Source organism: Homo sapiens, chromosome X, assembly GCF_000001405.40.
Source record: "Homo sapiens chromosome X, GRCh38.p14 Primary Assembly".
Taxonomy (NCBI): Eukaryota; Metazoa; Chordata; class Mammalia; order Primates; family Hominidae; genus Homo; species Homo sapiens.
The window spans coordinates 104,226,556-104,240,723 of record NC_000023.11 but is presented as its reverse complement, the minus strand read 5'-3'; the positions used below and the strand labels follow the sequence as shown (position 1 = coordinate 104,240,723).

At 42.2% G+C, this 14,168-nt stretch overlaps 1 annotated feature.

Annotated features, from left to right (window-relative positions):
- Positions 3,805-4,016: a silencer, noted in NCBI's record as "fragment chrX:103481389-103481600 (GRCh37/hg19 assembly coordinates)". NCBI's record gives its function as "represses an EF-1alpha promoter that drives an FKBP-Casp9 reporter gene in an ReSE screen in K562 erythroleukemia cells {active_cell/tissue: K562}" and the evidence as "EXISTENCE:reporter gene assay evidence [ECO:0000049][PMID:32094911]".

Genomic DNA, 14,168 nt, shown 5'->3' with positions numbered 1-14,168 from the left:
GCCTGAGCAACATAGTGAGACCCTGTCTCTACAAAAAATTTTAAAATTCTCTGGGTGTGGTGACACACTCATGTAGTCCCAGCTACTTGGGAGGCTGAGGTGGGAGGATCACTTGAGCCTGGGAGGCGAAGGCTTCACTGAGCCATGATGACCTCACTGCACTCCAGTCTGTGCAACAGAGCAAGACTCTGTCTCAAAAAGAAAAAAATAAAATAAACAAATTGTAAAAAAGAAATAGCAAATAAGCAGCACATTTATCTCTGAATATATCCACAACAAAAGTTTTGTACCTTAAATGCTGCAAATTATAAACATCACAAACTGGAATTAAGCAATGCAGGACCAGAGGGCTGTATCTTACTTATGTCTGAATTCACTTTTTTCCATTTTCTCCCCTTTCACCCAGTAGATGTGAATCTATAGTTGTTAAATTTTATTTGGAATCTGTGACACCACTGTCCATTTGGCTGTGTTTTCAAATCCAGTTTGTTGGCCAAATTTTGGAACTACGTCAATTTCCACCCCTTTTTGGATAGTGAAGATGAGCTTCCCCACACTAAGCATTGACCTCTAGGATGGTCAACCCACAACCTCTTCCTCTGGGGACCCAGTATGCAGCAGAGCACTCAGTTGCTCCTCCCAAGTCTCATGGCGAGCTCTGCATTTGGGGCTGTTCCCACTCCCTCTTCCTTTTCCACACATACACATGCATATGTGCACACACACATATGCACACACCAGATCTTTTTTAAATTTTATTTTATTTTATTTTAAGTTCCAAGATAAATGTGTAGGAAGTGCAGGTTTGTTACATAGGTAAAAGTGTGCCATGCACACAACAGATCTTTAACTTGAAAATATCCTGGAATGATCACATCAGTTCATTTCCTTCTGCCCTTCTTTTGGTCATTAGAATGCCCTCAACAAGCTCCAGCCACATCATTTCCACCTGTTGGCAGATATAGCTGTCAAGCTGCCCCCAGATGAGGTCATATGAGAAAAAATTGTCTGTTGATGGCAGAGTTTTTCCAATGAGAAATTCCAATTGGCTAACACAGGACTTCTGGAAATATTTCCTAAATCTAGTGGCCTAATATCATCAAACTCCTTCCTACAAAAAGCAAGAAGAATTCATTATCAGAGAAGAAAGCCTGCTGAGCCAGGTGTTAGCCAGCACCCCAGCAGGGTATCTTGGCCTGCAAGTCTGTATTGACTAAGAAGTATTCAGGAAGAAAATTAACTTTTAAAAGACCTTTCAATAACAGATTAGTGATTTAAAACTTTTTTTTAGTCTTGCAATCCTTTTAAACAATTAGTGGCATAATTGGAAAGGGTCTACAAATTCAAATGGACTACCTATGAAAGGGCTCTCCCCACCACTCCCCCTGCTCAATACCATCCTCAGAACCCTTCCAAGGTGCACTGAATGACAGCCATCACCTGCTCTTTGGAGGGTCTCAGATTGTCAAGAGGGGCAGTTAATGGAAGTCGAATGCCCTGGTAGCTCATAACACAAATTAATTCCAGAGAAGGGATCAGTGTAGTCACTGTAAATGAAAATAATTCCTTCCTCTGGGCTGGGCTGAAATTCCATAGGAGGTGCCCTCCGAAAGCCCGACTCCACTGGTCACCTGAGCCTGTCGGCCAGTGGACTCTGGCCTCCCCTTACTTCCCATTCAAAAAACAGGCTGCTCTAGGGAAACCCGGCAAGAGGAGCATCTTACTGCTCGTGGGACGGGGAGAGAGGGTATTCTCTGACGAACTAAAGGACTTACCCACCAAATGCAGGTCGCATAGATCACCCATTGTTGCAAAGTTTGTTTTTATAGGCAATTGAGGTGAAAGTGTATACCCTGGCATCAAAAATGTCAAGTGGTAGGGGTCACCCCTCAAAATGTTATTAGACAGTTCCCCCAACCCCCATCCCAAGTCTCATAACCTCTCTGCCTAAATTTAGCTCTTGGATCTCTCACCCTGTGACTAATTGTTTTTACATATAGGATGTCCATTTTTGCCATTTATTTATTTACTTGGGTCAGGGTCTTGCTCTGTTGCCCAGGCTGGAGTGCAGTGGTGAGAAGAGACCTCACTGCAACTTCTGCCTCCCAGAATCCAGCGATCCTTCTGCCTCAGCTTCCTGAATAGCTAGAACCACAGGTGCGCATCACCATGCTCAGCTAGTATTCTTTATTTTTCTTTTGTAGAGACAGTGTCTCGCTATGGTTTCAAACACCTGGCCTCAAGCAATCCTCCTACCTCAGCCTCCCAAAGTGCTGGGATTACAGGTGTGAGCCACTGCACCTGGCCTATTTTTGCATATTTTATAGTATTCTTCACACTGATTATTTTAATGTCTGCATTCATATATTATAATTTGTTTATATTATTTCATGGTAGATAATGAGCAAACAGATATTTGTTAAATTAATAAACATCTTTGTGTATATATGTAAATATATATACATACATCTATACATATCTAAGAACAAAGAGATTTATGCTTTGAAATTATTTTCTTAGGATAAATTTCTGGGGCTAGAATAGTCAAAATGTATGAATCTCTTCATTGTTCTTGTTACATATTGCCATAGAGAGCTGTATAGAGCTTTGGTTAAGAACACAGGGTTGGCTGGGCACGGTGGCTCACGCCTGTAATCCCAGCACTTTGTGAGGCCAAGGCAGGCGGGTCATTTGAGGTCAGGAGTTCGAGACCAGCCTGGCCAACCTGGTGAAACCCCGTCTCTACTAAAAATACAAAAATTATACGGGCGTGGTGGTGGGCTGAAGAATCTCTTGAATCTGGGAGGCAGAGGTTACAGTGAACCAAGATCGTGCCATTGCACTCCAGCCCGGGCGACAGAGTGAGACTCTCTCAAAAAACAAAAAACAGGGTTTGGACTTCAACAAAGTTTTTTTAGACTGGTTCTGCTCATACTAGCCACGTGATGGTGGACTAGTTACATCACCTGTCTGAGTCGCAGTTACCTCATTTATAAAATGGGAGAAATAATAGTTCCCTTGCACAGAAATGTTATGAAGAAGGTGGACACAGTGTTGGTTACTGTTGTTATGATTTTCACTTCCAACATACATATTTCCCCACAGCCTCATGAACATTGGATTTTATCAATTTTTTTTTTTTGAGATGGAGTCTCACTGTGTCACCCAAGATGGAGTGCAGTGGCAGCGATCTCGGCTCACTGCAACATCTGCCTCCCGGGTTCAAGCGATTCTCCTGCCTTAGGCTCCTGAGTAGCTGAGATTACAGGCTGTGCCACCATGCCCCGCTAATTTTTGTATTTTTAGTAGAAATAGGGTTTTGCCATGTTGGCCAGACTGGTCTTAAACTCCTGACCTCAGGTGATCTGCCTGCCTCTGCCTCCCAAAGTGGTGGGATTACAGGCATGAGCCACCGTGCCTGGCCTCAGGTGGACGGCTTGAGTACAGGAGTTCAAGATCAGCCTATGCAACATGGCAAAATCTCATCTCTACCAAAAAATACAAAAAATTAGCCAGGCTAATTTTTTAAATTAGACAGACTCTGTCTCAAAAATAAAAAGAAATGTTTTTTGTTGATTAAATAGGTATAAAAACAGTACTTTTTTGTGTTTGTATTTCCTTGTCGCATAATAAGGTTTACATATTTTTCAAGTATTTAATTTTTGTACCTTTTTTTCTGCAAATTGTCATTCTTTTACTTTTAAAACATTTTACCTTCAAGGATTTTGTGGTATCCTTTCAGAGTTCAGTACATTTTTTGTTTTTGTTTGTTTGTTTGTTTGGGTTTTTTTTTTTTTTTTTAGATGGAGTCTCACTCTGTCGCTCAGGTTGGAGTGTGGTGGAGCGATCTTGGTTCAGTGCAACCTCTGCCTCCCAGGCTCAAGCGATTCTCCTGCCTCAGCCTCCTGAGTAGCTGAGATTACAGGCACCCACCACCACGCCCAGCTAATTTTTAAAATCTTTTTGGTAGAGATGGGGTTTCACCATGTTGGCCAGGCTGGTCTCTAACTCCTGTCCTCAAGTGATCCACCCGCCTGGGCCTCTCAAAGTGCTGGGATTACAGGCATGAGCCACCGGGCCAGGCCAAGTTTTTAAACATGTTTAAAATAACTAATACTTATCTGTCACTTATCACACTATTCCCCACATTCTATTGTGGGATAGAATTTTTTTCTTCGCTTTGTGGTCCACATTTTCCTTTCTGAGTTTTGTTTTGTTTCGTTTTCTTTGTTTGTTTGTGTTTGTTTTTACAGGCGTGCCACCATGCTTGGCTAATTTTTTGTATTTTTAGTAGAGGCAGGTTTCACTATGTTGGCCAGACTGGTCTCGAACTCCTGACCTCAAGTGATCTGCCTGACTCGGCCTCCCAAAATGCTGGGATTACAGCCGTGAGCCACGGCACCCAGCCGCTTTCTGGGTTTTTTTTATTGCTTTAATCCTTTAAAAATTATCCTTCTCTCACAGCTGGATTTATACTTCCTCAAATAATTGAGTTTATGAAGAGCTATCTATTCTATTCTTTAGATTTAATTTTACTTGATTTTTAACTCAGTTAAAATCCCAACTGAGATCTATTGTGCCCTATAGTAGGAAATAGGTAGTTCTAAATTTATTTTTCCACATTACTATTCAGTTGTTCTCAAGTGCTCACTTAATATTAAATACTTCACTCATTGTGTTATGGTGCATGTTTGACATCTGTTAATGTCATATGTGCTTAAAGTTATTTCCAACCTCTTGCCTTCATTCTATTGATAAATACTTCACTTTCGAGGCAGTATCACAGTTTTAAGCATTACTGCTTTGTATCTTGTTCTAATATGTGGTGAGATGAATCTGTACTTATTACTCTTTAAATTATTATTTTGTTTTCTTGCTTATTTTTCCATTTTAATTAAAGTTGTATTAAAATTAGAAAATTGTTTGGCACAAATTGCCGTATTTACAAATATGCTATCTTCCCATTCAAGAGTAGATAAATAACAAGCTATTTTACAAATAATACCTAAAACCTAAATATTCTGTCAGTATTGCTGGAGTCTCACAATTGCCCACAATCTTTTCTCCCTTTGGTAACAAGGGCCAATTCTCTGCAACATTCAGCAGCTGTGGTAAGTGGAATAATAACCCCAGTCTCCCAAGGACGTCTGTGTCCTAATCCCTGGAACCTGTGAATGTGTTATGTTACGTAGCAAAGGAGAATTAAGGTAGAATATAGAATTAAGATTGTTAATCTGATGTCCTCAAAATAGGGAGAGCCAGACGCAATGGTGTGTACCTGTAATCCCAGCTACTTGGGAGATTGAGGCGGGAGCATCAGGAGGATGGCTTATGCCCAGGAGTTCAAGGCTGCAGTGAGCTTTGGTCACGCCACTGCACTCTAGCCTGGGTGACACAATGAGACTTTATCTGTAAAAAACAAACAAAGCAAAACAAACAAACAAAAACGAGAGAGAGAGAGAATGGAGAGTGAGAGATGAGACCTCATCTGTCAAAAAGAGAGAGAAAGAGAGATTCTCTAGGTGGGCCTAATGTAAGCACAAGGGTCCTTAAAAGTAAAAGAGAAAGGAAGAAGAATAGGTGGCTAGGTCAGAATGATGAGATGTGAAAAATCTAGACTCACAATTACTAGCTTTGAAGATGGAGGAGGGGGCCAGGAGCCAAGGAATGTGGGCTGGGCTGGAAACAATTTCTCCCCAAGAGCCTCCAGAAGTGAATGCGGTGCCACTGATACCTTTCCCCCCGCACTTAGTAATAGTGTCCCACTCTAACCCAGGCTGGAGTACAATCATTCCATCATGGCTCACTGCAGCCTCAAATTCTTGGATTTCAAACCATCCTCCCGCCTCAGCCTCCCAAGAGGCTGGGACTACAGGCATGTCCACCACACCCAGCAAATTTTATATCTTTTGTAGAGGCAGGATCTCTTTTTGTTGCCCATGCTGGTCTCAAACTCCTGGCCTCAAGGGATCCTCCCACTGCAGCCTCCCAAAGCGTTGGGATTACAGGCATGAGCCAGCATACCCAGGCTCATATGCTAAATAAGTTTATGTTTTAAGCCATGAAATCTATGATAATATGTTATAGCAGCTACAGGAAACTAATACGTTTGCTCAGTAAAAGCTGTGCAAAGGATTATTCTTTCACTGACCTTGTTCCTCTCTGCCCTCAACCTATCTCTGAGGCCAATAAAAGTTAGCAGGAGGCCAGGTACAGTGGCTCATTCCTCTAATCCCAGCACTTTGGGAGGCCAAGGTGGGAGGATCGCTTGAGCCCAGTAGTTCGAGACCAGCCTGGGCAACAGAGAGAGAACCCATCTCTACAAAAAATGTAAAATTAGTTGGGCATGGTGGCAGCGCCTGTGGTCCCAGCTACTCAGGAAGCTAGGGTAGGAAGATTGCTTGAGCCCAGAGGGTTGAGGCTATAGTGAGCCGTGATCATGCCACTGCACTCCAGCCTTGGTGACAGAGTAAGACTCTGTCAAAAAAAAAAAAAAGTTAACAGACCTGGCCATGGCCCCTGCCTCTTCTGGCTCTTGGCTCTTGGAACATAGGAATCATCTTTCTGGAAATTAATTGCTTCTGCTTGGTACATGCTGCACCACTTTTGTTCAGTCCTGCCTAACCACTTTTGTACTCCTACTTTCCTGCCTAAAATACTTGGGAATCTGTAGGTGCTCAGAGATAGGGGGCAATAGGGGAAGCTGGAAATCACACTTCTTTTACTCCCTCACCCCCACCACATTTATGAAATTTGTACAATTTTCACACCATCCAAGGACTTTCTCAGTTATACATCTTTTCCTTCAACTACAGAAAAGTTTTCCCAGAATCACTTGGTACTAGTTTTCAAATGTTTCATAAGATGAAAGGACAAGAGCCCATGCAGCTTATAGCAGACTGGATTTGGAATTTCCACAGCAAACCTATTGTGCCTTTGAGAATAGAAATCCTTAGAATTAAAACGCTCTTTAATTTCAAAGTATAAAATATACTGTCATTTTATTCCAAGTATAAAAATGTAGAGAAACGCTGATTATGAATCACATATTGCTGGGATAATATGAGATGGGACTAGTTTAAGGGGCTGATCAGAAAGGAGATAAATTTCCTTTGGCTGGGACACATTGGTGGAGATAGTGCTTTTATAATCTCCCTCCTCCCTTTTTCGGTAGCTTACATTTATTGAGCCTTTACTCTGTGCCAGGTGATGTACTAAATAATTTACATGGGTGATTCTTTCTTTCTTTCTTTCTTTCTTTCTTTCTTTCTTTCTTTCTTTCTTTCTTTCTTTCTTTCTTTCTTTCTTTTTCTTCTTTCTTTCTTTCTTTCTTTTTCTTCTTTCTTTCTTTCTTTCTTTGTTAGATGGAATCTTGCTCTGTCACCCAGTCTGGAGTACAGTGGTACGAACTCAGCTCACTGCAACCTCCGCCTGCTGGGTTCAAGCGATTCTTATGCCTCAGCCTCCCGAGTAACTGGAACTACAGGTGTGTGCTACCATGCCTGGCTAATTTTTGTATTTTTAGAGAGATGTTGGCCAGGCTGGTCTTGAACTCCTGACCTCAAGCAACCAGCCCATCTCTGAGGCCAATAAAAGTTAGCTGGGGGCCAGGCACAGTGGCTCATTCCAGCACTTTGGGAGGCCAAGGTGGGAGGATTGCTGTTGGCCAGGCTGGTCTCGAACTCCTGACCTCAAGTGATCTGCCCGCCTCTGCCTCCCAAAGTGCTGGGATTACAGGCGTGAGCCACTGCACCTGGCCCACAGATGATCTTATTTGATCCTCACATTAAGAGTTAGGTACTCTGAATCCCATTTAAAGATGAGGAAGCTGTTACCCACAGTCACAAAGTGACTAAAAGCCAGGATTCAAAGTCAAGTCCGTCTGACTCCAGAACTTGTGCTTTGTCAAGTGTAACATAGTGGTCATGCACTGTGATGCTAGTATTACAATGATCTGGCTGCCAATTCCAGCTCTGCCATCTCCCAGCTGTTTGTTCCCGGGAACATTTTAACCTCCATATCTTCAGTGCCCTTCTCTATAAGAGTGGAATCATAGACAGTGGATGAGAAGAATAAATGATATAACATACGTAATGTAGATAGTATAACCCCCAGCCACAGAGTAAGTGCTCCAGAAATGTTCACTACTATCTCTCCATACTGTCTCCTATCATCACATCATAACCTCTCCTGCCATCTTTCATATGTGGCAAGATGGAAAGAGGCCTAATTAGGAGTCAGGTGGTCTAGGTTCTTGTTACAGTTCTATTACTATCTCTGTAAGTTAAACCACTTAACCCACTGTATCTATTTTGTCTGACAAAATTTTAAGCACAATACTCTTCGCTGTGTATACAAAGTTGTTCTAGGGATCAAGTGAAATCAGACATATTTCAAAAAATCAGAAAAGTGTAAAGAGTTAAACGTATTGTACAGACATAAGGAATCATTTCATCCATGGCCTTCTGGAGATCAAAGTGTCATATTCATATTTCTATTCCCACTTCCCTTTCCCAGACCTACCTTTCCCACTTCTTTTTCCTCAAAGAAATGAAATCAAATGTGGTGAATAACATAGAGAAGAATTAAATAGTGATCAGACTGGATATTTGGTAATAGTAAAGAATTGGCCATGTTTTAACTGTGATAATGATACTGTGATTCTGTTCATTAAAAGGGTCTATCTTTTAGAGAAACATATTAAAATATTTGCTAATAAAATAATATGATGTCTGGATTTGCTTCAAAATAACAGGGTGGGGGAAGACGGGGAGTTGGAGAATGGGTGAGGGTATTAATGAAATAAGATTGGCTATGAATGAGTATTGTTGAAAGAGGGTGATGCATGCATGGGAGCTAATCTTACCATTCTTTCAACCTTAATGTATGATTGATATTTCCCATAATAAAACTCTTAAAGTTGGGTGTGGTGGCTTACGCCTGTAATCCGAGCACTTTGGAAGGCTACGGCGGGCATATTGCTTGAGCCCAGAAGTTTGAGACCAGCCTGCGCAACATGGTGAAACCCTGTCTCTACAAAAAATACAAAAATTAGCCAGGCATGTGGTGTGCACCTGTCATCCCAGCTACTTAAGAGGCTGAGGTAGGAGGGATCGCCTGAGCCCGGGAGGTCGAGACTTGAATGAGCCTAGATTGCACCACTGCCCTCCAGACTGGGTGACAGAGCAAGACTTTGTCAAAACAAAAACAAACAAACAAACAAACAAAAAAACTACCACCACCACCACCACCACAACAAATCCCTTCCAAAAAAAAAAATCAAGGGTTTTGACGGACATGGTGGCTCACACCTGTAATCCCAGCACTTTGGGAGGCAGAGGTGGGCTGATTACCTGATGTCAGGAGTTCGAGACCAGCTTGGCCAACATAGTGAAACTCCATCTCTACTAAAAATACAAAATTAGCCGGGCTTGGTGGTGCACACCTATAATCCCAGCTACACGGGAGGCTAGGGCAGGAGAATCACTTGGACCCATGTGGCAGAGGTTGCAGTGAGTCGAGATTGGCCACTGCACTCCAGCCTGGGCAACAAGAGTGAAACTCCATCTCAAAAAAAATAAATAAATAAATAAAGGGTTTCAAACCCAAATGTCTACAGAGCCAGTCAGGTAACATAAAAGGGAAGCAGACTGGGTGCAGTGGCTCACACTTGTAATCCCAGCACTTTAGGAGGCCAAGGCGGGTGGATCACCTGAGGTCAGGAGTTCGAGACCAGCCTGGCCAACATAGTGAAACTCTGTCTCTACTAAAAATACAAAAATTAGCTGGGCGTGGTGGCATACGCCTGTAGTTCCAGCTCCTCAGAAGGCTGAGGCAGGAGAGTTGTTTGAAACCAGGAGGTGGAGGTTGCAGTGAGCCGAGATCTGCCACGGCACTCCAGCCTGGGTGACAGAGTGAGACTCCATCTCAAAAAAAAAAAAAAAAAAAAAAAAAAAAGGGTGATGAACAGCCCCTACTCAACTCCAGCTGAATGTTGTCCTGGATGGGAATGTGGAGCTGGGTGCCAGAGTTTTTGGTTTTTCAAGAGAAGCCAGAAGTAAAACATTTTATATGAAATCTTCCAATCTTTAATGTTGGTGACTAATTAAAATATGTTTTATTAACACTGTGCCAGCCAATTAAAACAAATCTGAAGTCCGGGCGCAGTGGCTCAGGCCTATAATCCCAGTACTTTGGAAGGCCCAGGAGGGTGGCAGATGACTTGAGGTCAGGAGTTCGAGACCAGCCTGGCCAACATGATGAAACCCCATCTCTACTAAAAATACAAAAATAGCTGGGCGTGGTGGAGTGAGCCTGTAATCCCAGCTACTCGGGAGCTTGAGGCACGAGAATCGCTTGAACCCGGGAGGCGGAGGTTGCTGTGAGCTGAGATTGTGCCACTGCACTCCAGCCTGGGCAACAGAGTGAGACTCTATCTCAATAAAATAAATAAATAAATAAATAAATAAATAAATAAATAAATATAAAAAATAAAACAAGTCTGAGGACCAGATTCTGCCTGCAATTGCCAATTTGTAACCTCTGCATAAGAGGCTAATTTTAGGCAATGTTCACAACTCTGAAGCAGTCGAATGTCATGGGATGCCCTTCCAAAACCAACAAAACTAGAACGCCGTCGTTCTGCCCTAATATTCCTTAGTACAGGTCCTGCTCCTGTATGTGCTTTTTCTCTACTCTCCACCCTTACCTTTGAGTTCCAATAACTTTATTCTTCACTTGCATTACTTCGTTCCAATCTCAAATTCCTGATCGCCAAGGACCAAAAGTTCACAAGGTTTCAAGATGTGAGGCCTCTCCACAGCAAATCAAGATTTAGGACCCACATGATCTGATCCTTCTTTCTGACACATTTTGCTGCTCTTCTGAATGAGAGAAGCTTGGGAGAGTCTTAAAAATCATTATGCCCCAAGGAGCAAAGGAATAGGCTGGGAGGCATAGGGCATCCTAGAAAAGGAGCAGGTCTTGTGTTAACCTCCTGACTGACAGCCCACAGGGCAGGCATTTAGTGTGCGTCTCCTAGTCATGGTGGTGGAGAGAGTGGGTGAGTCTGTTTGGAGTCCTCCACTTTCCCTCATTCACCCCTTCTCCCATGACTACAAGCTTATGAGATTGTGGCTGGGTGATAACTATGCAGGTTTTTTTCTGAGAGGTCAGGGCAGGCTTTCTTGAGAAGTGATGTTTTAAGCAGAGAGAGAAGGATGAGTTAGAGTTAACAAGATGAAGAATGGATGAGAAAGCATTTCAGGCAGAGAGGACAGTGTGGGCAACAGCCCCAAGGGAGGAAAGTACTTGGCACATTTGAGGAACTGACAAAAGGCCAGTGTAGCTGCAGAAAGGAGGAGGGTGGCTAGAAATCAGGCTAAGGCAGCAGGCAAAAGCCAGATCATACAAGCCTTGCCAGACCCAAATTGGAGAGCCCAGTGGGTTCGTGACACTGTTCTGGAGACTCTAGAAGCTACAGACATGGCTCAGACCTAGTCCCTGCCCTCCAGCAGCAGACAGCAACCAGTGGGATATTAGGCAAGTGCCAGCGGTTGCTAACGAATGTTATTGGAAGGGATTGAGGAGAAAAGTGGTTCGTTTTTGAATGGAGGGATTAGGGGACGCTTCAGGGAAGAGGTGACAGTTACTTAAACCTTGAAGGATAAATGACATTTCAACTAACAGAGAAGGTGGGCAGAAAATTTCCGGTAGCAGGAGCAGCCTACTCAAAGGAACAGAGGTGAGGCCATTTGGAGTATGTTTGGGAGAAAAGAAGAGCAAAGTTGAGGGTGGGAACAGAATTTGGGAAGCAACAGTGTCGTATAATACAACTTTGGGGTGGCCTGAATCCCTAGCTAAGAAGTATGTGTACCATCTAACCTGTTGTAAGTACTATAAGCTAGAAACAAGATTTCCTAAATGCAACCTTTTTCATTGTACATCATACTTTAAAATAATACTGGGTTCAACCATACAGATTCCAAAACTCTTTTCTTTTTTCCTTTGAGACAGAGTCTCACTCTGTTGCCTAGGCTGGAGTGCAATGTTGCCATCATGGCTCACTGTACTCTCAACCTCATGGGCTCAAGTGATCCTCTTGCCTCCTGAGCTGCTAGGACTACAGGCCTGCACCACTAGGCCTGGCGAATTTTAAAACTTTTTTGTAGAGATGGGGCCAAAATTCTTTCTGTCTCTTCCTATCACAGATGATCATGACTTATTATTTTCTCATGGAATTGATTTTTATATAATAAAATTATACTCTATTGTCAAAAATTAGAAAATACAGGCCAGGCACGGTGGCTCACATGTATAATCCCAGCAATTTGGGAGACTGAAGCAGGTGGATCACTTGAGCCCAGGAGTTTGAGATCAGCCTGGGAAACATGGTGAAACTCTGTCTCTACAAAAAATATATAAAAATTTAGCTGAGCATGGTGGCATATGCCTGTAGTCCTAGCTACTCAGGAGGCCGAGGTGGGAGGATTGCTTCAGCCCGGTAGGCAGAGGTTGCAGTGAACTGAGATTGCACCACTGCTCTCCAGCCTGGGTGTCAGAATGAGACCCTGTCTCAAAACAAAACAAAACAAAAAACAAAAACAAAAAAAACAGAAATCCTAATGTAGACTGTAAAAATGACAGGCAATCTGTATTTGTCCATTTTCACACTGCTGATAAAGACATACTCGAGACTGGGCAATTTACAAAAGAAAGAGGTTTAATTGGACTTATAGTTCCATGTGGCTGGGGAAGCCTCACAATCATGGCAGATGGCAAGGAGGAGCAAGTCACGTCTTACATGGATGGCAGCAGGCAAAGAGAGAGAGAGGAAGATGCAAAAGTGGAAACCCCTGATAAAACCATTAGATCTCATGAGACTTATTAACTACCAAGAGGACAGTATGGAGAAAACTGCCCCCATGATTCAATTATCTCCCACCAGGTCCCTCCCACAACATGTGGGAATTATGGGGGTACCATTCAAGATGAGATTTGGGTGCGGACACAGAGTCAAACCATATCACAATCTTACAACTAAGAGATAATTACCATGAACATTTTGGTGTATATTATTCTAATTTTTTAATCTAAATATATGTTTATATAATTTTAAATAAAAATTAGATCTTATTATACATTCTGTTTTATGATATCATTTTCTCCTAATACATCAGGAACCTCCTCATTCTGTGACAATAAAAATACATTTCAATCATTACAATTTTTAGTGGCTTCATAGAATTCTAGTATATCGGTTGCCATAATTTATTAAACCAATACTTTATTGTTGGACATTTCACTCATCCCTAGCTATCCACATCATAATTAACACTGTGATTAACATCTTTGCATTAGATTAAACCATATATAATTGTCATTGTTGAAGGTGAAAAATGGTCAAATATCAGCAATTTCATATTATTCAACTTAATATATACATCTCTATGCCAAACTCTGATTACTGCATTAGAATAAATTTCTAGAAGTAGAATTGGCCAGGTGTGGTGGCTCATGTCTGTAATCTTAGCACTTTGGGAGGCTGAGACAGAAGGATCATTTGAGCCCAGGAGTCCAAGACCTAACTGGGCAACATAGTGAGACCTGTCTCTACAAAAAATTTTAAAAAATAGAAGTAGAACTACTGGATAGGAAGGTATGAACATTTCAAAAGCTTGAAACGTTTTACAAAATTCAGAATTGATCTCTATTACCTTTTATTTATTTATTTATTTATTTATTTTTGAGACAGAGTCTTGCTCTATTGCCCAGGCTGGAGTGCAGTGGTGCAACCTCAGCTCACTGCAAACTCTGTCTCCCAGGATCAAGTGATCCTCCAGCCTCAGCCTCTCAAGTAGCTGGGACTACAAGCATGTGCCACCATGCCAGGCTAATTTTTGTATTTTTAGTAGAGATGGGGTTTCACCATATTGGCCAGGCTAGTCTGGAACTTCTGACCTCAGGTGATCCACCCACCTTGGCTTCCCAAAGTGCTGGGATTACAGGTGTAAGCCACCATACCCGGCCTATTAACTTTTATTTTTAAAGCACTTCTTCTGTATCACTGAGGTTCCTCATGATACTGTAGAGAGAAATATAGATTAGCAAGTATCAGAAGTATTCATCTAATGTTTGGGCAATTGTGTTTACCTGTTTAAAAAAGCAAT